This window comes from Homo sapiens, chromosome 9, assembly GCF_000001405.40.
Source record: "Homo sapiens chromosome 9, GRCh38.p14 Primary Assembly".
Classification (NCBI taxonomy): domain Eukaryota; kingdom Metazoa; phylum Chordata; class Mammalia; order Primates; family Hominidae; genus Homo; species Homo sapiens.
The window spans coordinates 129,524,712-129,550,671 of record NC_000009.12 but is presented as its reverse complement, the minus strand read 5'-3'; the positions used below and the strand labels follow the sequence as shown (position 1 = coordinate 129,550,671).

Here is a 25,960-nt window from a genome sequence, read left to right as displayed (position 1 = left end):
GAAGAGTGGGGTGGATGAACCCCTTTTCTTGTACTCTCTGCTCCAGAAGGAAAGGGGGCGAGTAGGAGGTGATCGGGGAGGAGCGGGAACACAGGAGGGAAAGAATCCGAGGCAGCGGAAGAGACCGGAATCGGAGGGTAGGGGCGCGGTGGAGAGGCTCAGCCCCGCGGAGGGAATCGGAGCAAGCGCAGCGGCGCCAGTGGGGAGAGGGCCGGGCCAGGGCCGCCCAGGAGGGCCGAGCGCCGCCAGTGCCGAGATGCCCGGGCCGCCGTCCAGCTCCGATCGCCTGCCGCGTTCCTGGCAACCGCGCGCGGCTTCCCGGCGGAGGCGGGGCCCGCGGAGAGGTTACATCTGCACCAAGTGCCTGGGCGCAGCCGGCCCGGAGGGCAGTGATGTGGGGTTCGGGTGGGGGAAGATAGGGGGCCCTGGAGGGGGCGCGAGGGCGGCCGGCGAGCCGGGCGGGGAGAGGGAGGAAAGGCTGCGGCGGCGGCGCGGTCCGGGCCCCGGAAACATTCCTCCGAGGGGCGCCCCCGCCCGAGCTTCTGGGGTCCGCGCGTCCCGGCCGGGGCTCTCTTGGGGGTCGCCTCGCCCGCTTTCCGCCCCAGAAGGCCAGTGAACCGTTCCCCCACGGCCTCCCCAAATCCCAGAGTCCGGCCGCTCCCGCTGGCCGTCCCCTCTCCCCCGAGAACGAGCCCGCCTGGAGCGGTCGCGTGGGCTCTGACACGGGCAGGAGGGCTGCCACTTGCGCCCACCCCCTCCTTCCCTCGCGGTCCGCCGGGTCCGCCCAGCTCTCGTGGGATTGGGCTGGTGTCTTCTGCACCCAATCAGGTGGTGTGGGCACCGCACTGCGTCACTCCCCTGCTCCCGGACCATCTGCGGCTCCCTATTACCACCTCTACATTCTGGTTTACAGCCTTGAGTAGGGCCCAGCACCGCGGGTAGGCTCGGGTGTCCCACTCTCCAGCACCGGGGGTCCTCCTCTCTGGTTGGGCTGTGGGTTGAGGGGCTCTGGACCAGACACCGGCCTACCCCGTGAGCCTCCTCCTATTTTTCTTTCTCTTTCTCTCTCTCCTCTCCCTCTGTTCCTGTGTGTCTGACAGCCTCTCTGTCACGCACACACATTGTATTGCTTCTGTCAGTAGACTGAATGCATTCGGTGCCACCTAGATACCAGCCAGGTCCTGGGCCTTGCACTGGGCCCTGGACGGCACCTGGGCTGAGCCGGAAACAGCCCCTGCCCTCTGAGAACTCAGGCCCTGGCAGGCAGAGTGGAGGCTGCCCAGGGAGGAGGGTAAAAGCTGAACTCTGGAGTCCAGTCAGTAGCTTTGGGTTTAAATTCCGCCCTTCCACTTCCTGGCTGGGTGTGTCCTTGGGCAAATTATACTTGGAACCTCAGCTGGCCCAGCTGTCAAATGGGAATAGAATTGTCAGTCGGCGCCACCTCATGGGGCTAGGTTGGGAGGGTTTAAGGAGATAACACCAGTAGCTCTTGGCATACACGGTCCCTTTTAGTAAGCTTCCAGCATGGAAGGAAGTACGAGGACAGAGACTGGACAAGAACCGAGGGTCCATTTGGAGTCCTTAGAATCGATGCCTTTGAGCAGACAGACTCCCCAGCAGCCCTGCAGGCATCATCAGAGAATAACCGAGTTTTCTAACCCCCTCATGTCAGACCACTATCATTCAAGCACAACCATGGGTGTGAGCCCCAGTTGGGAAAGTTTACTATTAAGGCTCTAAAAGAAGCCTGCAAATACTGGAGCCCAGTGCATAAATAGAGAGGGAGCCTCAGCTGAGACGCCTGAGCTAAGTGTCCAGGAGGCAGGGGGATTTGGGCCAGGGCTGGTGGGTGTATCATGGCACTCCAGGAACAAACAGGGAGCCAAAGGCAAAGGTCCAAAGCATGACTTCCACAAGGACACACACACACTCAGACCAACCAGGGTCAAGGCTCCAGTTCTTGTTTCACGGGTCCTGGTGGAGCCTGGCCGCTTGCCTCTGGACACAGCAGCCCGGGAAGTCACCACCTTCCGGCGGGCTGGGACAGGGTTTCCTCTGAGCCCAGCAAAGCAGCAGGCAGGACGTGCTGCTGCCTTCTGGGAGAGTTGGCCTTGCAGAGCCTGGGAAGGGGCAGACGAGGGAAGGAGGCCTGTCACATAGGGTTCTTCCAGAGATGGGTCGGGCCCTTGCAGATCTTAGAGCCTCCGTGAGATCCTGGGCTTCTCAGAGAAAGGTTTGTAGCAAGTGGGGAGGGGACAGGGCAGCCAGGAACAGCCTGTGCTCACTGCTGCATGTACATCACTCCTTGGGACCTCAAGATCTGGTTCTGGCTCTGTCCCTGAGCCAGTGGCCCTCTCCAGGCCGTGAGCCCTGGAAACTTCAGCCAATCACAAAGTGACAGTTGGCACTGAGTTGGCACTTAGGACATGCCATGAGCTTAAAGGTATTGTCTCCCAGCAATCCTAGGGAGTTGGTACTCATTACATTCCTTTCTATGGATGAGGAGACTGAAAGGCAGGGCCTGAGCTGCTGACACGCAGTCAGTCACCGGTGAAGCTGGAACTCAAAGCCAGCCTTGCCAGACACCCAGGTCTGAGCTCTTAACTGTGAGCTGCGAACCCCCTCCAAGGTGGACCCAAGAGACGTGCAGCAAGGAGTGGGCAGTGGTGAGAAGCTCCCCCACCCCCCTGCTGCCAGGCTTCCTCCAGTAATGTGCCCATTTTACAGATGAGCTACCAGGATTTCGCTTTGGTGACTTGCCCAAGGCTGCACTGCTCAAGAATGGAGTCCATAAAAAAATAAAATCTGAGCAGATTGGAGCTGCAAGGGGGCTCAGAGCTCTTCTAATCAAAGCTTATTTTCCAGTCAGGGAAACTGGTCCAAAAAAGGCCAGGCCTCCCGGGACCGACTGGAGCTCTTTCTCCATCATCTTGGGCCACACAACCCTCCCCAGTGGATCCATAGCCCGCTAACTAGTGAGTCCCATTGAGTGGAAATGGAAGGTGGATTAGGGAGAACAGCTCAATAAAAGAGTCCAAGTTTTGGCCGGGCGCGGTAGCTCACACCTGTAATCCCAGCACTTTGGGAGGCCGAGGCAGGCGGATCACCTGAGGTTAGGAGTTCGAGGAGTTCGAGACCAGCCTGGCCAACGTGATGAAACCCCATCTCTACTAAAAATACACACAAAAATATTAACCAGGCGCAGTGGTGTGCACCTGTAGTCTCAGCTGCTTGGGAGGCTGAGGCAGGAGAATCGCTTGAACCCGGGAGGTAGAGGTTGCAGTGAGCCAAGATTGTGCCATTGTAATGGCAGCAAGAATGAAACTCTATCTCAAAAAAAGAGTCCAAGATTCACCCAGGGGCGGATGAAAGAACTCCCTGAGCCCTGGTGGAATTCCCCAGCGTGGGAGAGGGAGAGTGCAGCCCATGGGGGCAGGTCACAGCCCACACTCTTCCTTCAGGATCTTCTCAGCTCCCAGAGCTACCTTGCCTTTCCTGGCCCTGTGGAGGGGAGAATGAGGGCAGAGCAGGGAAAGTGGAGGGGTCCTGGGGCCCTCTGGGGAGAGGGAGCTTCTGTTGCTGTCCCAGCTCATGGGGTGTCCCTTGATAACCAGGAGAGAAGACTTTTCCTTCGCCCCCTTTCCTTCCTTCTCTCCATTCCTCTCCTGCTCCAACAACCAGAAGTGTGAGGCGGAAGCCCTGAAGTTTCTTGGTTTTGCATCTGCAGAATAGGGGTGCTGCCCTCCACATCCTTCAGTCTAGGGTGCTAGGAGCCCAGCAGTCTGTGATCCTGCTATGGAGAGGCTGGGAGCCCAGCGCTCTGATAAGTTGAGGCTAACATTTCATGTATTCATCCTTCTGAGAGATGAGGCCCCTTATTGGTGCCAGGCCAGCCCTACACTAGGGGCTGGGGTGCAGCCATGAATGAAGGAGACCCACACCTGCCCCCGTGGAGTCCCAGGTGAGAAGGTCTAGTTCTCAGCCTGAGAGTCAAATGTTGTGAGTCTACAAGAGCCTTATTCCCACCACATGGCTCTGTCAGACCCGTGATGTTTCTGGAAGCAGGAAGGAGGAAAGAAGGAGTGGAGAAAGGTGGGGTCACACAAGGGCACTAATTTTAATGTTCACTTTCAGTGAATGTAATCTTCTGGGATCTAGCACACCTACAATTTTGAGTGCCTTAAAATGCCACTGCTAATAGACTCATAGCACTTGTGTCTTTCAGGGGACCGTTCTCTGAAGCATCACAAATGCTCTGTGAACATTCATTAATTAGGACCCAATTAAATAGTTATCATTGGCTGAAAATATATTTATTGCAACGCGTTTGACCAGCTACTGGTTTCCCGGCTGGGCCTCCACATGTGTAGTTGTGCTTGAATGATGGTGGCCTGACAGGAGGGGTTAGAACATCGGGTTATCCTCTGACAATGCCTGCAGGGCTGCTGGGGAGTCTGTCCGCTCAAGGGCATTGATTCTAAGGACTTTCAATGGACCCTCAGTTCTTACCCAGTCTCTGTCTTGGTGCCTTCTTCCATGCTGGGAGCTTACTACAAGGGACTGTGTATGCCAGAGTCTTCCAGAAGAAAAATTCAAGGTTGAGCAATAACCTGGTTGCTCACGCCTGAAGTCCTTCCCTTTCCTTTTTTTTTTTTTTGAGATGGAGTCTCGCTCTCTCACCCAGGCTGGAGTGCAGTGGCACAATCTCGGCTCACTGCAACCTCTGCCTCCCAGGTTCAAGCGATTCTCCTGCCTCAGTCTCCCGAATAGCTGGAACTACGGGCACACACCACCACACCCAGCTAAATTTTGTATTTTTAGTAGAGACGGGGTTTCACCATATTGGTCAGGCTGGTCTTGAACTCCTGACCTCAAGTGAGCCACCCGCCTCAGCCTCCCAAAGTGCTGGGATTACAGGCGTGAGCCACCATGCCCAGCCCTGAAGTCCCTTTTAACTCTGTCATTCGGTAGCCCCCGAAGTCTCTTACCCAGTGGTCTAGAGCTCCTCCCGTTCTCTGCCTTCTACTAGAGGAAATTTCCCTCTAGAGGAAGTGCTGCTTGGCCAGGCTCTGTGTTGGCATTGGGGTGGAGGATGAAGGAGATACGTCATATACTGAACTCTTAAGGCCCAGCCCTGTGTCAGACCGGGGCTGAACACCTTGCACTGAATCCGCTTAAGAGCTCTGAGAAGTAGAGAATGGGTTCCAGTACAACAGGGAGGCAAACTTGAGTTACCTGAAATTCCTCACCAAGATTTCCCCAGGGGACTGGGGAGGATGGGGGCTGCGTGGCTGGCATGGAGATCTAGGATTCTCTGGCCCTCCAAGAGCAGAACAGCAGGTGGGACCAGAAGCCCCCCACCCAAGACTGGGCTGATGTGGCACAAAGGAAGGAAGCACGTAGGATCAGCTGCTAGGGAGGTGTTTCAGAAGCAGACAGAGAAGGAAAGCTTGTTTTTAGCAGTGGCCACCAATGTGGAATTTTGAAGGTATTTGTGTAAAGGGGAACCCTGGGACCATGTGAGACACTGTGCCACTCCATCATTTTTTGAAAATGACTGGGACATTTAGTACCCTGCTTGTATTCAGGTTACATACGATGACAGACACCAAGCCGAATGTGCCTAAGGAAAAGGAGAACTTAGGAGTCCACGTGAAACAAAACAGGGATAAGGACAGGAATGGAGCAGCCCTGAGTAAGGATGAGATCATGAGACTCAAATACTTCCAGACCCCTAGCTGTTCCTGTCTTCCTTCTGCCTCTGAGAAACATCTCGGTCTCATTTCTGTCCACCGCATATGGGGTTTCTCTGGGGAGGTGGAGAGTAGGAGGGGTGATTTTTTATTTTTTTAAGTTTTATTTATTTATTTTTGAGACGGTGTCTCTGTTGCTCAGGCTGGAGTGCAGTGGCATGATCTCGGCTCACTGCAACCTCTGCCTCCCAGGTTCAAGCAATTCTCCTGCCTCAGCCTCCCGAGTAGCTGGGATTACAGGTGCGTGCCACCACACCTGGCTCATTTTTTTTTGGTTTTTTTGTTTTTTTTTTGAGATGGAGTCTTGCTCTGTTGCCCAGGCTGGAGTGCAGTGGTACCATCTCAGCTCACTGCAATCTCTGCCTCCCGGGTTCAAGCGATTCTCCTGCCTCAGCCTCCTGAGTAGCTGGGATTACAGGTGCGCACCACCACGCCTGGCTAATTTTTGTATTTTTAGTAGAGACAGTGTTTCATCCTGTTGGTCAGGCTGGTCTTGAACTCCTGACCTTGTGATCTGCCCACCTTGGCCTCCCAAAGTGCTGGGATTACAGGCATGAGCCATCGCGCCCGGCCAAAGCGTGATTTTTTAAAATGCTGATTTCTTTTCTTTAATGGCCATTGATTTATTTAGGGTTTCTCTTGTTTTTGTGTGTGTGTGTGTGTGTGTGTGTGTGTTTTGAGGCTGAGTCTCACTTTGTCGCCCAGGCTGGAGTGCAGTGGTGCGATCTCAGCTCACTGCAAGCTCCGCCTCCCGGGTTCACGCCATTCTCCTGCCTCAGCCTCCCGAGTAGCTGGGACTACAGGCGCCCGCCACCACGCCCGGCTAATTTTTTGTTTGTATTTTTAGTAGAGATGGGCTTTCACTGTGCTAGCCAGGATGGTCTTGATCTCCTGACCTCGTGATCCACCCGCCTCGGCCTCCCAAAGTGTTGGGATTACAGGCGTGAGCCACCGCACCCGACAGGGTTTCTCTTGTTTTTGAATAAACTTTGATCATTTATGCTTTCCTGTAAATTCTCTATTTCATTTATGATTCTTAAAACTTCCAGTCTATCTGTAGTTTCATACTTTTTAAAATTCCTAATGTTAGATATTTGTGCCTTTACTCTTCTTTTCCTTGATTAATCTTGCTAGATGTTCTTCTATTTTGTCATTTCAAAGAAACAGCTTTGGGCTTTATTGAATATTCTGTAATTGTTGATTTCCTTTTCATTGATGCTCTTATCTTTATTGTTTATTCCCTTCCACTGTTGTTTTTTGTTTGTTTGAAGCTTCTTTAGTTAGTTGAAAGCTTTACACATGTATGTTTTAGTCATTCTTGTTTTAAAGTAAATGCACTTAAGATTATATATTTCTCCATAAATGTCCTTTTAGTTGCATTCTGCAAATTTTGTTTTGTATTGAGCAAATATTTCATATTGAGCAAATATTTCATAATTCCCATTGGGATTTCTGTTGTCTTTGAGTGGGCTCAGTGAATAACTTCCCTTTTCCTTCCTGGATTCTGAACTAACTGAGAGATAAGGCAAGAGTCAGCAGAGGAGGGAAAATTTTTTTTTTTTTTTTTGCGGTTAAAACTTTTTTTTTTTTTTTTTTTGTAGAGATGGGGGTCTTGCTTTGTTGCCCAGGTTGATCTCAAACTCCTGGCTTCAAGGGGTCCTCCTGCCTTGGCCTCCCAGAGTGCTGGGATTACAGATGTGAGCCACCGCACCCGGCCTTAAAAAATCATTTTTAAAAAAACTGATAGAAATAAGATTGGAGGATGAGGGTAGGTAAAACAGCCAAATGGGTTTCTGAAAAGGGGGATTTGGCCACCTTAACCCCTGGTCACTGTGATGCTGGCGGTGGCAGGTGCAGGAGCAGAGAATGACCACTGCCTGTGGGCGGCTCACTCACTCCCAGGAAGAGAAAGGGAGTGGGTGAGTCAAGTGGGCCCATTTTACGGTTCCCACATTCACCAGTCAGGTAAGTCACTCTTTCTCCAGGCCTGAGGGTGGAAAGGAGAAGGGAGAGGCTGGGTGTGTCATGCAGATTTAGCTCCCACTGCATGGAAGGAAGCATCAAGATTAGGAAATAACGTTCCTGCAACAATTTCCTCTTGAACCTATGAAATAGAAATGTGCTTCTTAGTTTTCAAAGACAGGATTGTTGGCTGGGTGTGGTGGTGCATGCCTGTGATCCCAGCACTTTAGGAGGCTGAGAGGTAAGGATTGCTTGAGCCCAGGAGTTCCAGACCAGCCTGGGCAACAACGCAAAACCCCATCTCTATAAAAAATCTAAAAATTAGCCAGATGTGGTGGCACACACCTGTAGTCCCAGCTACTTGAGAGGCTGAGGTGGGAGGATTGCTTGAGTCTGAGAGGTTGAGAGGCTGCACTGAGCCATGATCATGCCACTGCACTCCTTGCCTAGGCTACAAAGCAAGACCCTGTCTCAAAAAACAAAAAAAGAAGATATAGTTGTTATTTTAAGCTGCCTTTAAAAAATATATATATATATATGGGTCTATTTCTAGATTCCTTGCTCCATTGATCTTTTGGTTTGTCCTAAGGCCAACATCCCATTGTCCTGATTACTGTAGCATTATAGTAAGTCTGGAAATATCATAAACCTTGAAAAATAACCCTGGTTACTTTTGTCTGAAATGTGAACTCCACCTTTTTAACAGTTAGATAGTGTATAAATTTACTGCCCGTCTTCTGAATGTGATTTGACATATCTTAGTGTATCAATTTAATTCTTTTGTGTGTGTGTGTGCCAGAGTTTCACTCTTGTTGCCCAGGCTGGAGTGCAGTGGCACAATCTCGGCTCACTGCAACTTCTGCCTCCCGGGTTCAAGTGATTCTCCTGCCTCAGCCTCCCAAGTAGCTGGGACTACAGGCACCTGCCACCACGCCCGGCTAATTTTTTGTATTTTTAGTAGAGACCGGGTTTCACTATGTTGGCCAGGCTGGTCTCGAACTCCTGACCTTGTGATCCACCTGCCTCGGCCTCCCAAAGTACTGGAATTACAGGCATGAGCCACCGCGTCCGGCTCTCAATCTAATTCTTAACATTGTCATTTGCATGATCTTCCATCTTTGTGAAAGTCTTAGTCTTTTCTTATTATATTTTAGATGGAACTTCTTGATTTTAGATGGAAATTTCACTCTTTTGCAGACACTTGACACTGAATGAGTGTCATTTTGCAAACTGTACAAATGATCATTCAATACATATCCCTGCTCCAGGCTTTCTTGCCTAGATACATTTCCTTCTTGATTTAATTATATTATTTCATGTCAAAAATTTCATTAGGATTATATAGTTTTTACAGACAATGGTTGTGGCAGAGTTGCTGGTTGTCCCCCAATATCCACTCTTCCTGTCTTGCAAAGTAATAAAATTTTTTATCTGGACATGTGGTAGACCCGATAAGAACTATATTTCCCAGCCTCCTTTGGAGCTAGCTATGGATTATGGGATGTAAGAGGAGTGATACAGTGTGTGTGACTTACAGATCCTACTCTTGAAAGGAAACAGCACACCCTGCCCTTTCTGTTGATGGGAAGGAGGGTGCAGTGGTGAGCCATCTTGAACTAGGGGGTTCAGAGCAATATTACAGGGATCAAGAAGCAAGAAAACATAAGGGGCAGGGCGTGGTGGCTCACGCCTATAATCCCAGCACTTTGGGAGGATGAGGCGGTTGGATCACTTGAGGTCAGGAGTTCGAGACCAGCCTGGCCAACATGGTGAAACCCCATCTCTACTAAAAACACAAAAATTAGCTGGGGGTGGTGATGTGCACCTGTAATCTCAGCTACTTGAGAGGCTGAGGCAGGAGAATCACCTGAACCCAGAGGCGGAGGTTGCAGTGAGCTGAGATTGCACCACTGCATTCCAGCCTGGGCAACAAGAACAAAGATCTGTCTCAAAGAAAAGCCCCGAGCTGGGCGTGGTGGCTCACACCTGTAATCCCAGCACTTTGGGAGGCCGAGGCAGGTCGATCACGAGGTCAGGAATTTGAGACCAGCCTGGCCAACATGGTGAAACCCCGTTCCTACTAAAAATACAAAAATCAGCTGGCATACTGGCGGGCACCTGTAATCCCAGATACTTAGGAGGCTGAAGCAGGACAATCACTTGAACCCGGGAGGTGGAGGTTGCAGTGAGCTGAGATCATGCCACTGCACTCTAGCCTGGGCAACAAGAGCGAGACTCTGTCTCAAAAAAAAAAAAGAAAAAAGGAAAGAAAGAAAGAAAACATAAGGAACCTGAGTCTCCAATAACTCGGAGCTGCCGTATGACTATTTATGCCCAGACTGTTACTTAGGGAGAAAGAAAATTCTATCTTTGTGAGCTGCTAGTATTTTGGATCTCTGTCAGAGCAGCTGAACTTCTATCCTAGGATAATAGCTAGATTTACCAATATCATTTATTAAATTATTTGTTCACTACCGCTCCTTGATACTCCTTCCCTTTTAATTTATGTTTCTTTTTGGCAGAGAATCTCTTTTAAGAGTTTTTGCAGCAAAAGTTTGGGGGTGAAAAATCTTGGGATTTGTAGGTTTGAAAATGCTTTCCTCTCCAAGTGGATAGTGTTGAAATGAAGAAGAAGAAAACATTGGGCCAGGTGCGGTGGCTCATGCCTGTAATCCCAGCACTTTGGGAGGCTGAGGTGGGCAGATCACGAGGTCAGGAGTTTGAGACCAACCTGACCAACATGGTGAAACCCCATCTCTACTGAAAATACAAAAATTAGCCAGGTGTGGTGGTGGGTGCCTGTAATCCCAGCTACTCAGGAGGCTGAGGCAGGAGAATCGCTTGAACCCGGGAGGCGGAGTTTGCAGTGAGCCAAGATGGTGCCACTTCACTCCAGCCTGGGCAACAAAGTGAGACTCCATCTCAAAAAAAAAAAAAGAGAAAAGAAAAAGAAGAAAACATTTTCCTTTCACTCCCCTTTTTTGTTTTAGCTCTGTCACGCGGGCTGGGCTGCAATGGCATGATCAGGAGTCACTTCAGCCTTGATCTCTCCAGCTCAAGGGATTGTCTCACCTCAGCCTCCCAAGTAGTTGAGATTATAGGCATGTGCCACCATGCCTAGTTAATTTTTAAATTTTTTGTAGAAACAGGATCTCGCTAAGTTACCAGAGCTAGTCTCGACTCCTGGGCTTAAGCGATCCTTCCACCTTGGCCTCCCAAACTGCTGGGATTACAGGCATGAGACACCTCACCCAGCCTGCTCACACTCTTTACTGACAGTTTAGCTAGGTATGTTAATCTGAGTTGGTAGTTAATTTTCCTCAACACCCTAAAGGTATTATTCCATTGTTTTCTTGCTCCTTTTGTGGCTCAGGAGAATTCTGTTGGTTTATTTGTCATTTCTTTGTAGGTAATTGTTTTTCTCCCTCAGAGTTGCTTTTAAGATTTTATCCTTATTTTTGGCATTCTGAATTACAGTGTATCTAGGCGAAATGTGTATTTTTACTTATTTAGCCTGTCTTTCATTGGGCTTCTTTATTCTGAGAACTCATGTCTCTTTATTCTGAGAACTTACTCACTTTTTGAGAATTCTCAGCCTTTATGCCTTTGACTATGCCTCTCTTGTCATTCCCTCTATATGGTACTTCTAGAAATTCCTATCATATGGATGCTTGACCTTCTAATATTATCCTCCATTTCTCCTAATTTTCTTTGATATTTTTCATCACTTTTGCTGTATTGCCTTCTATGTGAATTCTTCAGTTTTAGCTTTCTATTATCCACCTCTCTCTTTGTGTCTAGTCAAGAGTTTATTCCATCTCGTGAGCTTTTATTTATTTATTTATTTATTGAGACAAAGTCTTGCTCTGTTGCCCAGGCTGGAGTGCAGTGGTGCAATCATGGCTCACTGCAGCCTCAACCTCCTGGGCTCAAGCAATCCTCTCACCTCAGCCTCCTGAGTAGCCCAGCTAATTTTTTAAAAAAATTTTGTCCACAAAAAAATTGAAAATAAAAAAAGACCAGGAATGGTGGTGCCACCTGTAATCCTAGCACTATGGGAGGCCGAGGTGGGTGGAACACTTGAGGCCAGGAGTTTGAGACCAGCCTGGCCAACATGGTGAAACCCTGTCTCTACTAAAAATACAAAAATTAGCTGGGCATGGTGATGCATGCCTGTAATCTCAGCTACTTAGGAGGCTGAGGCATGAGAATTGCCTGAACCCGGGAGGTGGAGGTTGCAGTGAGCCATGATCGCACCACTGCAATCCAGCCTGGGCCATAGAGTGAGACTCTCTGTCTCAAAAAAATAAGAATAAATATAAATTTTTTGTAGAGACATGTCTCACTATGTTGCCCAGGCTAGTCTCGAACTCCTGAGCTCAAGGGATCCTCCTGCCTAAGCCTACCAAAGTGCTGGGTATTACATGTGTGAACCACTGTGCCCGGTGCCTTCAGCTTTTATATCAGTGTCCTTCTAGCCTTAGCATTTGATCTATGGCTTGTGAAATTTTGTCTTCGGTGAGTGAGGCTTTTAGGATATGTATACACTGAATGGGGTGGCCCACCAAAGTGTGAACAGGAGTGGGAGAATATGGGTCATTTTTATTCTCTTCTATACCTTTTAGTATTTATCAAGTATTTTTGAATGATATCTATATAAAACAAGCCAAAGCTGTTTGCTTAAACATTTTGTTTTTATTTATTTATTTATTTTTGAGATGGAATTTCGCTCTTGTTGCCCAGGCTGGAGTGCAATGGCGCGATCTCGGCTCACCGCAACCTCCGCCTCCTGGGTTCAAACGATTCTCCTGCCTGAGCCTCCTGAGTAGCTGGGATTACAGGCATGTGCCACCACGCCCAGCTAATTTTGTATTTTTAGTAGAGACGGGGTTTCTCCATGTGGGTCAGGCTGGTCTCGAACTCCCGACCTCAGGTGATCTGCCTGCCTCGGCCTCCTATAGTGTTGGGATTACAGGCATGAGCCAACGCGCCCAGCCAAGTAAACATTTTATTAATGAATAATATACAGAAAATGGCAGAAATCTTAAATGTTTAGTTTGATAAATTTTTACAAAGTGAACACACCTATGTAATTACCATCAAGATTAGGGCATGATCAGCATCTAGAAGCGTTCCTCATACCCTCCAAGTCATTAACTCCTAGAAGATTACCATGGATTCGACTTTTATCATCATAGAAAAGTTTTGCCTGTTTTTGGAATTTTTATAAATGAAATCATTCAGTATATTCATTTACATTTGACTTATCTTATTCATATTATGTTTGTGAAGTTCATAAATGTTGTTCTGTGTAACAATAGCTCAATCATTCTCTTTTCACATTTTTAATTTTTTTTTTGAGACAAGGTTGCCTAGGTTGGAGTACAGTGGCACAGTCTCAACTCACTGCAACCTCCATCTCCTGGTCTCCAGCAATCCTCTCACCTCAGCCTCCTGAGTACCTGGAACTATAGATGTGTGGCCACCACACTCAGCTATTTTTTATAGTTTTGGCACAGACAGGGTTTCACCATGTTGCCCAGGCTGGCCTCGAACTCCTGCGCTTGAGCAATTCGTCCACCTTGGCCTCCCAAAGTGCTGGAATTCCAGGCATGAGCCACTGTGCCTGGCCTAATTTTTAATTTGTGTGGGTACATAATAGGTGTATATATTTATGGAGTACGTGTGATGTTCTGAAGCACAATTGTACAATTGTTCTTTTTTTTTTTTTTTTTTGAGACAGAGTCTTGCTCTATTGCCCAGGCTGGAGTGAAGTGGCACAGTCTCGGCTCACTGGAGCCTCTGCCTCCCGGGTTCCAGATATTCTCCTGCCTCAGCCTCCCAGGTAGCTGGGATTGCAGGCACGCACCACCACGCCTGGCTAATTTTTATCCTTTTTTTTCTTTTTGAGACAGAGTCTCGCTCTGTTGCCCAGGTTGGGGTGCAGAGGCGCGGTCTCAGCTCACTGCAACCTCCACCTACCAGGTTCAAGAGATTCTCCTGCCTCAGCCTCTCGAGTAGCTGTGACTACAGGTGCCTGCCACCATGCCCGGCTAATTTTTTGTAGTTTTAGTAGAGACGGGGTTTCACCATGTTGGCCAGGCTGGTCTCGGTCTCCTGACCTCGTGATCCACCCTCCTCGGCCTCCCAAAGTGCTGGGATTACAGGTATGAGCCACCGTGCCCGGCCCCAATTTTTATACTTTTAGTAGAGATGGGGTTTCACCATGTTGGCCAGGCTGGTCTTGAACTCCTGACCTCAGGTGATCTGCCTGCCTTGGCCTCCTAAAGTGCTAGGATTACAGGCGTGAGCCACTGCACCCGGCCAGTTCACTTGTTCTTAATGTTTAGTATTCCATTGTGTGACTAGCCCACAATATAGTTCCACATTCTCCTATTGGTGGATATTTGGGTTGTTTCTGGCTTGAGGTTGTTGGGGCTCAGAAAACAATGCCTCAAAGTAAAAGCTTCAGAAGCAAAGTTTCTCCCTGACCTTTCCCTGCCCTTCTGTCTCTCACCCCTCATTCTCCCCTGAGGCGAGCCATGGAAACTACAATTCCTGTTCCCCAAAGTGGATCATAGAAACCAGAACCCTCTTCCCTGAAGCCAGCCACAATGCCTACAAATATGACCCTAACCCTCCTTCACCTTTCTGTGTAACAGCTGGCCAGAAAGACATTTTTCTGACCTACCTTGTTTGATTGTAGGTCATGGGACCCTCATTCCAGGGAACGTCCTGCCGCATACCTGGAAGGAAGGAACGTGCACAGAGAGGCCAAGAAAAGTCTAAACAGACTGGCCTTGCTGGGTTTCCATACTCAGCCTCTTACTATTAGATCACACCCTTTTGGTCCAATCATATTTCTATGCAGTTGTCTATACTTGATTGAACCTAAGTATAAAAGTGCACAGTTCACCCTGGGTCTTTGGGTCTTCATTCTGAAAGCTCCCATAATCAAGTAAAACTATTATGAAATATATTTATTATGTTCTTTTTTTTTTTTTAATGGAATCTCGCTCTGTTGCCCAGGCTGGAGTGCAGTGGGGCACAATCCCGGGTTCAAGTGATTCTCCTGCCTCAGCCTCCAGAGTAGCTGGTTCTACAGGTGCATGCCACCACACCAGGCTAAGTTTTGTATTTTTAGTAGAGACGGGGTTTCGCCCTGTTGACCAGGCTGGTTTTGAACACCTGACCTCAGGTAATCCACCCACCTCGGCCTCCCAAAGTGCTGGGATTACAGGCATTAGCCACTGCGCCCGGCTTTTTTTTTTTTTTTTTTTTTTGAGAAGGAGTCTCACTCTGTCACCAGGCTGGAATGCAGTGGTGCGACCTCTGCTCACTGCAACCTCCAACTCCCTGGTTCAAGCCATTCTCCTGCCTCAGCCTCCCAAGTAGCTGGGACTACAGGCATGTACCACCACGCCCAGCTGATTTTTGTATTTTTAGTAGAGACAGGGTTTCACCATGTTGGCCAGGATGTCTCGATCCCCTGACCTCTGATCTGCCCGCCTCGGCCTCCGAAAGTACTGGGATTACAGGTGTGAGCCACCGCGCCTGGCCCTCTGTTATGTTCTTCTCTTATTAATCTGGTTTTTTGTTTGTTTGTTTGTTTGTTTTTTTGAGACAGAGTCTCACTCTGTCACCTAGGCTGGAGTACAATGGTGAGATCTCGGCTCACTGCAATCTCTGCCTCCTGGGTTCGAGCTATTCTCCTGCCTCAGCCTCTGGAGTAGCTGGGATTACAGGCATGCACTACCACGTCTGGCTAATTTTTGTATTTTTGGTAGAGATGAAGTTTCGCCATGTTGGCCAGGCTGGTCTCAAACTCCTGACCTAAGGTGATCCCCCCACCTTGGCCTGTGTTTCACTGTGTTGTCCAGGCTGGTCTCGAACTCCTGGGCTCAAGGGATCTTCCCACCTCAGCCTCCCAAAGTGTTGGGTTTACAGGCGTGAGCCACCGTGCTCAGTCTTATGTTGGTTGATTTTTTAAACTCTTAAAATTATTGAATCACTCTTGCTTCCTGGAATAAATCCGGCTTGGTCATGCTATGATATTGATAGCACTTGATATTGTTTGTTTTTTAGAACTTAGCCATTTTAATAAGTGTAATAGCATCCCAATGTGGTTTTCATATAAATTTTCCTAGTGACTAGGGAATGACATTGAGTATCTTTTCATTCATTAATTTACCATTCATATATCTTCTTTGATAAGTATCTGTTCAAATCGTTTGCCCATTTAAAAAATTGTATTGTGGCCCGGTGCGGCGGCTCAGGCCTGTAATTCCAGCACTTTGGGAAGCCAAGGTGGGTGGATTGCTTGAGGTCAGGAGTTTGAGACCAGCCTGGCCAACATGGTGAAACCCCGTCTCTACTAATAATACAAAAATTAGCCAAGCGTGATGGCTCACGCCTGTAATCCCAGCTACTTGGGAGGCTGAGGCAGGAGAATTGCTTGAATCCAGGAGGTGGAGGTTGCAGTGAGCCAAGATTGTGCCATTGCACTCCAGCCTGACCCACAAGAATGAAACTGTGTCAAAAAAAAAAAACCATATTGTTTGTCTTTTTTTTTTTTTTGGAGACAGGGTCTTGCTCTGTCACCCAGGCTGGAGTGCAGTGCTGTGATCATGGCTCAGTAGTACAGCTTTGACCTCCCAGGCTTAAGTGATCCTCCCACCTCAGCCTCCCAAGTAGCTGAGACCACAGGTGTGCACCACCACACCTGGCTAATTTTTGTATTCTTTGTACAAGTGGGGTTTCACCATGTTGCCCAGGCTGGTCTCAAATACCTGGCTCAAGCGACCCATGAACCTTGGCTCCCTAAAGTGCTAGAATTATAGGCGTGAGCCACTGTGCCTGGCCTGTTTGTCTTTTTATTGTTAAGCTCCTAGAGTTCTTTATATAATCTGGATATAAATCTTTTGTTGGATATTTGGTTTGCAAATATTTTTTCCCAAACTGTGGCTTATTTTTCCATTCTTTTTTTTTTTTTTAGACAGATTCTCACTCTGTCACCCAGACTGGAGTGCAGTGGCACGATCTTGGCTCACTGCCACCTCCGCCTCCCGGGTTCAAGCGATTCTCCTGCCTCAGCCTCCCAAGTAGCTGGAATTACAGACATATGCCACCACGCCTGGCTAACTTTTGTATTTTTAGTAGAGACGGGGTTTCACCATGTTGGCCAGGCTGGTCTCAAATTCCTGACCTCAGGTGATCTGCCTGCCTCGGCTTCCCAAAGTGCTAGGATTATAGGCGTGAGCCACCGTGCCTGGCCTTATTTTTTCATTCTCTTAACAAAATTAATACAAGTAAATGTTTAAATTTTGAAGGAAATCTAGTTTATTATTTCTTTTATGGATCATGCATTGGTGTCATATCTAAGAACACTTTGCTTATCCCAAGGTTACAATTCCCCAATGTTTTTTTCTAAAAGCTCTATTGTTTTACATTTTATATTGAAGTGTATGATAAATTTTGAGTTAATTTTTGTATAACATGTGAGATAAGGGTTGACATTCTTTTTTTTTTTCCCACATGTGGCCATCCAGTTTTTCCAACCCCATTTCTGGAAAAAAAAAAAAAAAGTTATCCTTTCTCAATTAGATTGCCTTCGCATCTTTCTCAAAAGTCACTTGGCTGGCCGGATGCAGTGTCTCATGCCTGTAATCCCAACACTTTGGGAGGCTGATGCGGGCAGATCACCTGAGGTCAGGAGTCAAGACCAGCCTGGCCAATATGGCAAAAACCCATCTTAAAAAAAAAAAAAATACAGGTCGGGCGTGGTGGCTCACGCCTGTAATCCCAGCACTTTGGGAGGCCGAGGCAGGTGGATCACCTGAGGTCAGGAATCGAGACCAGCCTGGCCAATATGGCAAAAACCCATCTTTAAAAAAAAAATAAAAAAATTAGCCAGGCATGGTGGTGTGTGCCTGCCTGTAGTCCCAGCTACTTGGGAGGCTGAGGAACGAGAAGTGCTTGAACCTTGGAGGTTGCAGTGAGCTGAGATCACACCACTGCACTCCTACCTGAGTGACAGAGTGAGACTCTGTCTCCAAAATAAATAAATAAAAATCACTTGGCCACATTTGTGTGGTTCCATTTATGAATTCTCTGCTCCACTGACCTGTATGTCTGTCCCTTTACCATTCCCACACTGTCTGCTTACTGTAGCTTTATATTAATACTAAGTCTTGAAATCAGATGATGTCACTCTCCTAACTTTGTTCTTTTTAAAAACTCTTTTTGTTATTCCATTTCCTTTTCTTTTTCATATAAATTTTAGAATTAGCTTGTTGACTTCTACTAACAATTATCCTTAGATTTTCTTTGGGATTGGATTGAATCTGTAGATCAGCTTGACCACAGTTGACAGCTTCACAATATTGAGTCTTCTAATCCATGAACATGGTATATGTCTCCATTTATTTAGGTATTATTTCATTAATGTTCTGTAGCCTTCAGCATACAGATTTATACTCAAATATTTATTTTTTCAGCACTATCTCTTAGTTTTCATTTCTAGTCATTCATTGGGAGTGTATAGGAATATACTATTTATTTTTTATCTTTGTATATTGATTTACATCCTGTGACCTTGCTAAACTTTTTAGTTCTATGGGATTTTTAAACATATAAAGTCTTTTTTCTTTTTTTTTTTGAGATAGAGTCTCACTATATCACCCAGGTTGGAGTGCAGTGGCGTGCTGCTGGTTCACTGCAACCTCTGCCTTCCAGGTTCAAGTGATTCTCGTGTGTCAGCCTCCCAAGTAGCTGGGACTACAGGCATGTGTCACCACGCCTGACTAATTTTTGTATTTTTAGTAGAGATGGGGTTTTACCATGTTGGCCAGTCTGGTCTTGAACTCCTGACCTCAAGTGATCTGCCCTCCTCAGCCGCCCAAAGTGTTGAGATTACAGGCGTGAGCCACCTCATCCAGCCAACATATACAATCTTGTGTGTGAAGACAGGCAGATTTCTTTCTCTCTCTCTCTTTCTTTCTTTCTTTCTCTTTCTTTCTTTTTTTCTTCTTCTCTCTCTCTCTCTCTTTCTTTCTTTCTTCTTTCTTGGCTGTATGTCTTTTCTCCTTGCCTTACTGCATTGGCTAGGAATTCCTTTCTGGTGTTGACTAGCAGTAGTGACAGAAAACATCCTTGCCTTGTTCCTGATTTTAAGGGAGAAAGCATTCAGTCTTTCACTATTAAGTATGATCTGAACAATCCAACACCAAATCTCAAACCAAAGGTTGCTTTCTAGGGCCACTGTCTAGGGCTTGAGAATTGAAGTAAAAGTGAAGGGCTAGTAATGTGTTAGGGAGCGCAAGCACAGGAAAGCTAGAAGAGGGGGAAATAGGAAAAAAGGGAGAACTCATATGAAAGTACGTGATTGATCTGGCCACTGCTTGATGTTAATCACGATTGATTTCTTGATCTTGGGGAACCATCTGGCACATGCATGGACATTGAGTGGATCCCATAGCATTTGGAACACAAGCAAGCATGGAACAGCCCGTGGGGGCCGGAGGTGAGAATACTGTCGGGTTGTGCCTGCACGGAGCTGTGCCCATGCGGAACTGGTTGGGACAGAACAAGTGGCCAAGACCCTCATAAACTGATGGAGCTGAGAGGATTCAAGATGGCACATATGATTATATGGGAAACTTATCCAAATTTAAATCTTTCTCAACTGCTTTTCAATTTTCATTTGTATACGTGTATGCAGTTTAAAGCATCAAGTAGGTCCATAATGTTTATTATGAGAAACTACAGCCTCCTGTCCCCCATCCCTGAATTCCTCAGCTTTTTTGCTCTTAGATGCAAACTCTTTGAACTCTTGTAGCTGTTGCTTTTAAAATTTACCTCTGTATCACTAAATAACTGTGTGTGTGCGTGTGTGTGTGTGTGTTTAGTCTTAAGCATTGTGTATCAACTTTCCACAAAAGAAAAAAAATGTGCCAGGCGTGGTGGCTCACGCCTGTAATCCCAGCACTTTTGGAGGCTGAGGTGGGCAGATCACCTGAGGTCGGGAGTTCGAGACCAGCCTGAATAACATGGAGAAACCCCATCTCTACTAAAAATACAAAAATTGGCCAGGCATGGTGGTGCATGCCTATAATCCCAGCTACTCAGGAGGCTGAGGCAGGAGAATCGCTTGAACCCGGGAGGTGGAGGTTGTGGTGAGCCGAGATTGTGCCATTGCACTCCAGCCTGGGCAACAAGAGTGAAACCCCGTCTCAAAATAAATAAATAAATAAATAAATAAATAAACTGTCTGACTTTCACCAGCACCACTACTCCCTCTACCCTCACCCTACTTACTGTTTCATCATTCTTCCAACATACTTCAGTCATAATTTGGGCTAGCTCAATATTGAAAGTTTACAATATTGTGATTGTATAAATCCTCTTCATCTCCTGTGCTAAGTAAAACACTGCAGTTATTTTTTTTCTTCCACAGTCTTTTGTTTTCCTTGTAATAATATTGCCTTATTTTTATTTATTTGACTTCTTGGTTTTCTTTTTTCTTTTTTTTTTGAGACAGAGCCTCACTCTGTCACCCAGGCTGGAGTACAGTGGCGCCATCTTGGCTCACTGCAAGCTCCGCCTCCCGGGTTCCCGCCATTCTCCTGCCTCAGCCTCCCGAGTAGCTGGGACTACAGGTGCCCGCCACCACGCCTGGCTAATTTTTTTGTTGTATTTTTAGTAGAGACGGGGTTTCACCGTGTTAGCCAGGATGGTCTGGATCTCCTGACCTCGTGATCCGCCTGCCTTGGCCTCCCAAAATGCTCGGATTACAGGCGTGAGCCACCGCGCCCGGCCGACTTCTTAGTTTTCTATCTCACTTCATCCCAAACCCTTATTCAGCAGCACAAACTGCTGCTTGGTACATCCAAGCACATCAGTTAATCTTTCAGTTGCATCTTCTTGGAAACATTTTTTTGCAGATCCTTCTGGTTTGTTTCAATCTCTCTGGCAGCTTTCTAGGCCTGCTGAGATCTCCCTTCACCACCATCTTGGGAGTTCTCACTGTCTCTCTTCTGCCTTTGTTTCCCACTTTCCCCTCTTTCTTGGTTTATTCCCTTGTTTTGGTGGAGCTTGTCCTCTAGTAAATTCTCTAGAAAGCATGCACAGGAGCTGAACTTTTTCTGTGTTCATTTCTGAAAACGTCTTTATTCTGTTCTCACAACTGATTGATAATGTGGTTGGATATAGAATTCTATATTTTGAAATATTTTTTCCTTGGGATTTTGAAGGCATTTGCTCCACTGTGGTTTGGTTTCAGGAGGGCCATTTGAAAAGTCTGATGTCATTCTGATTCTTTGTGCTTTGTTTATAACCTGTTTTTTCCTGTTGAAATCTTGTATGACTTTTCATTTGTTCCCAGTGATCTGAAATTTTACGTTAGTGTATTTTTTTAAAATAGTACATTAGGCCGGGTGCAGTGGCTCAAGCCTGTAATCTCAACTACTTGGGAGGCTGAGGTGGGAGGATCACTTGAACCCAGGAGGCAGAGTTTGCAGTGAGCCAAGATCATCCCACTGCACTCCAGCCTGGGCAACAGAGTGAGACTCCGTCTCAAAAAAAAAAAAAAAAGGTTCATTAATGTGTTTTAGTGGGCAAATATCTTCATCCATTTTGTTAGATACTTGTTACACATTTTCAATCTGGAAACTCATATCTTTTTGTTTTGTTTTGTTTTGAGACACTGTCTTGCTCTGTTGCCCAGGCTGGAGTGCAGTGGCACGATCAGGCTCACTGCAGCCTTGACCTCCTAGGCTCAAGTGAACTTCCCATCTCAGCCTCCCAAGTAGCTGGGACCCCAGGCACCTGCCACCATGGCTGGCTAATTTTTAAATATTTTTTGTAGAGATGGGTCTCACTATGTTACCCACTGTGGTCTCCAACTCCTGGGCTCAAGCAATCCTCCCTCCTCGGCCTCACAGAGGGCTGGGATTACAGGCATGAGCCACTGGGCCCAGTCCCACATTTAATTTAAAGAAGTCGGCCAGGCACAGTGGCTCACGTATGTAATTCCAGCACTTTGGGAGGCGGAGGCGGAGGCAGGTGGATCACTTGAGGTCAGGAGTTCGAGACCAGCCCGACCAACATGGTGAAACCCCATCTCTACTAAAAACACAAAAATTATCCGGGGGTTGTGATAATTTTTGTGTAAAAATTAGCCTGGGAGACAGAGCAAGACTCTGTCTCAACAACAACAACAACAAAAATACACATAAAATAAAATTTTAAAAACTAAAGAAATTTACTTTAGTAACTTGGTTGATGATCCCTCTCCCTTTTATTTTCTATATTCTTTCTGAGACTCCTCATACTTGGGTGTTAGATCCTCCCAGAATAATTCTGTAACTTTCATGTCTTTAATCTCCTATGCTTTGTCCTTTTGCTCTGCCATCTCAGTTATTTCCTCATCTTTATCCTTATCTTCTAACCCTTCCACTAAGCTTTTAATTTGTGCTATCCAAATGATATGAGATATTTTTTGTTCTCAGAATGTTCCTTTTTTTTTTTTTTGAGACACAGTCTTGCTTTGTCACCCAAGCTGGAGTACAGTGGCACGATCTCTGCTCACTGCAACCTCCGCCTCCCAGGCTCAAGCAATTCTCCTGCTTCAGCCTCCCAAGTAGCTGGGATTACAGGTGTGTGCCACCACACCTGGCTAATTTTTGTATTTATTTATTTTTTTTTTAGTAGAGATGGGGTTTCACCATGTTGGCCAGGGTGGTTTAGAACTCTTGACTTCAAGTGATGTGCTTGGCTCAGCCTCCCAAAGTGCTGGGATTACAGGTATGAGCCACTGCGCCTGGCCAGAATGTTCCTTTTTGATAACATCCTGTTCTTGTTTAATGTGTGCTATAGCTCATCTTTGGTACTACTAATGATAATTTTTTTTTATATTTTCTTCTTATCTCTTTCCCTAAGCTTTTTTCTTTAAAAAAAGATCTATTTGTTATTGTTTGTCTCCCCCAAGTGCCTTGGTGACCATTGGCTTCTGTGTGTAGAGGCTGCTAGGAAGCTGAGAGCTCAGAGTTTGCTACCCACCAGGAACTTCACTGTTGGGTGATCTGGCTGGGTTCCTTCATCAGTGAGCTCACAATGTCAGTGTCTTTAGATCTTTGCTCTTGGGCTTCTCAGATCCCCAGGGAATTATCTTTGAATCTCCTGCCTACAGGTTCATACTAAGCCTGGATGCCAACTGGGAGTCTTCATATTCAGTACAAAGACCCTCACTGTATTCCCCTGTTTTCAATAAGATGCACCCCGTCCCCAGCTGGACTTACTTTTCCTCAGTCCAGAGACCCTTGGCTTTAGCCGCTCTGCAGAATAAACCATCTGTCTTCTGCTGGGGTGTGGTAGAGAGAGTCACCTTGGGACGTTACTGATGGCTCTTTAAACTGTCTTTCAACAAATCCCCTGTGGTTCAATATGCTCCTTACCTCTGCTGCCAGAAGCACCTGGTACTCAATTCCTAGCCTTTGGGGGTTTCTTTTGTGTCTAGGCCCTCCTTACTGCCAGTTTAGGACTGTTTTTTTTTTCATCCACTAAGGTGGTTCTCACTCATCCGTCTGCTTTCCAATTTGAAAATTTTGTTTCTCTTACCTCACATCCCATTTTCTTTGTCATTGTGATATTTTGAAAATGCCTATTCTGCCATTTTAAAGGCATTTCAGGAGGTAGCAGGGATAAATACCTGCGTTTATTCTGCTGTCTCTAACCAGAAACTCTGCTTTTTTTTCATAATATCTAATTCATTTTGATATTTCCCAAAACTTCTTTATGTCTTTTTTTTTTTTTTTTTTTTTTGAGATAGAGTCTTGCTCTGTCACCCAGGCTGGAGTGCAGTGGTGCCATCTCGGCTTACTGCAACATCCACCTCCCAGGTTCAAGCGATTCTCTTTCCTCAGCCTCCCGAGTAGCTGGGACTACAGGTGCACACCACTATGCCCAGCGAATTTTTGTATTTTTAGTAGAGATGGGATTTTGCCATTTTGGCCAGGCTGGTCTCGAATTCCTGACCTCAACTGATCCACCTGCCTTTGCCTCCCAAAGTGCTGGGTGTCTTTTTTTTCTTTTTCTTTTTAGACAAGGTCTTGCTCTGTCACCAAGGCTGGAGTGCAGTGGCACGATCATGGCTCACTGCAGGCAGCCTCGACCTCCCAGGCTCAAGTGATCCTCCAACCTCAGCCTCCTGAGTAGCTGGGACCACAGGCATGCATCACCACGCCATGCTAATTTTTGTATTTTTCATAGAAATGGGGTTTTGCCATGTTTCCCAGGCTGGTCTTGAACTCCTGGGCCCGAGTGATCTGCCAACCTCAGCCTCCCAAAGTACTGGGATTACAAGCATGAGCCACTGCACCTGGCCTGTCATTAGTAATTTTAATCATAGCTATTTTATGGTCTCTATCTCCTGGATCTATCATCTGGGGTTCTTGGGGTGTCCACTTGTACTGTTGGTTTTGCAGCTGGATCTCACTTATGGCTACTTTTGTTTTGTAATTTACCTTTGTGAGCTCATCTGCAGGGGCATCTGTTGGTGGGAACCCTGGGCAGCCTGGGTTGAGGTCATAGCCCTCTAGTGCACGTTTGCATTTGTTTCTGCCCCGTGCCAAGGGACCTGTTTTTGTGTTAAGCTTTTGCTTTGGGAGTCCCCAGAGCCTATAAGTAGCAGTCTAAATTTAAATCTCAAACCCCCTGAGGCTAAGCCTATGGTTACAAATTCCCAGAGCAGCCTGCTTTCCCCACTCCAAGCCCAGGATGTGGCAGGTGATCTGCCTGAGTGGAGACTGGTTTTTACCCTTCTCTACCTTTTCACTGAGAATGTAACTCTGGAGAGTCTGGTTTGGGGGTGGGTCTCATTTACAATCCCTTGCTTTGTGGAGCCCAAAGCCTCATTTATTGTCCCCAGAGGGGCTATAAACTCCAATCCCCAGACTGCAGAGACCAACACCCTCCACCTCACCCATGCTGCTCACACCACACCAACATCGGCTGCCTGATTCCTGCTCTAGTTTTCAGCTACTTCTGTGTTTTTGTCGCCCGATTCCTGCTCTAGTTTTCAGCTGCTTCTGTGTTTTTGTCCCTGGGGAGTTCTTTTCCTTTCTTGCAAGCTCAGCCATGCATTTAAAAGGATAGTTGTTATAGTTTGGCCACCATTTCCAAGTAGTATGTTGTAGCAGGAGGGTTTTCTGCTGTCTAGCCTGCAATATGGCTGGAAATGGAAGTCCAGGGTTTTGTTTGGCTATTTTTTGGTTTCCTTAAAAATGCTTTTTGTTACAAAAATTAGCTGGGCGTGGTGGCATGTGCTTGTAGTCCCAGCTACTCAGGAGGCTGAGGCAGGAGACTCACTGGAACCCGGGAGGCAGAGGTTGCTGTGAGCTGAGATTGCACCACTGTACTCTTGCCTGAGCAACAGAGCAAGACTCTGTCTCAAAAAAATAAAAAATAAAAATAAAAATGCTTTTTGCATCTCTGTATTCCCTGCAGCAGACCATCAATAGTGGTCCATGAATATTGGGGAAATGGAATGGAATTGCCCCATTTCTACCTAATTGGCAATTGTGCCAAGCAGTCCTGCTGTTTGGAGCAGGAGTCTTAGAGAACAAAGGACCATATTCATACTCTTGAACCTGGTATTGAAGGCCCACCCTGGCCTGGACCCAACCTGCCTCGGGTCCCATCTCACGGCTGGCCAGTCTCTCTGGCATTCTGCCCTCCAGCCACACACCTGATCAAAGGCTCCGTGCCACCCTGCTTTGAACTTCCTGCTCCCACCGTCTGGCCCAGGCTGAACGTCCACCCACACACATTGCCCACGCGTCCCCTGCAGGCCCTGGCACTTCACTGTGGCTGTTTACTTGCTGTCTTCTCTGCTGCACCAGACTTGCACTCCCTGGGGGCGAGGCCGGCCTCCTCTCCTCTCTGTATCTCCAGCATCCTCACAGTAGCTGCATAAACATCCAAGGCGCTGGAGAGATGTGTGTCTAATGCGCCAACGAGCAAGCCGCATTCCCACTCCACCAGCTCCAAGCACCAACTTTGCACTTTACAACATTAAAGCAGCCGTGGCAGGCCCCTTACTAAACCCAACCTTAACCTCACTCCCCTGTCCCAGATGGTCCCAGATACTGCAGGAGCAGAACTGTCGTCTGGCATTTTAATAGGGAGGTGACAGGTCATTTGGGTTAAAATGGACTCTAATTAGTCCTCGTAAGAGCTCAGCCTGGGGG

At 47.1% G+C, this 25,960-nt stretch overlaps 2 annotated features.

Annotated features, from left to right (window-relative positions):
- Window positions 2,057-2,557: an enhancer, noted in NCBI's record as "H3K4me1 hESC enhancer chr9:132310394-132310894 (GRCh37/hg19 assembly coordinates)". NCBI's record gives its function as "activates a minimal SCP1, AML or CMV promoter by ChIP-STARR-seq in primed H9 embryonic stem cells {active_cell/tissue: H9 hESC(primed)}" and the evidence as "EXISTENCE:reporter gene assay evidence [ECO:0000049][PMID:30033119]".
- Window positions 25,122-25,622: an enhancer, noted in NCBI's record as "H3K4me1 hESC enhancer chr9:132287329-132287829 (GRCh37/hg19 assembly coordinates)". NCBI's record gives its function as "activates a minimal SCP1, AML or CMV promoter by ChIP-STARR-seq in naive H9 embryonic stem cells {active_cell/tissue: H9 hESC(naive)}" and the evidence as "EXISTENCE:reporter gene assay evidence [ECO:0000049][PMID:30033119]".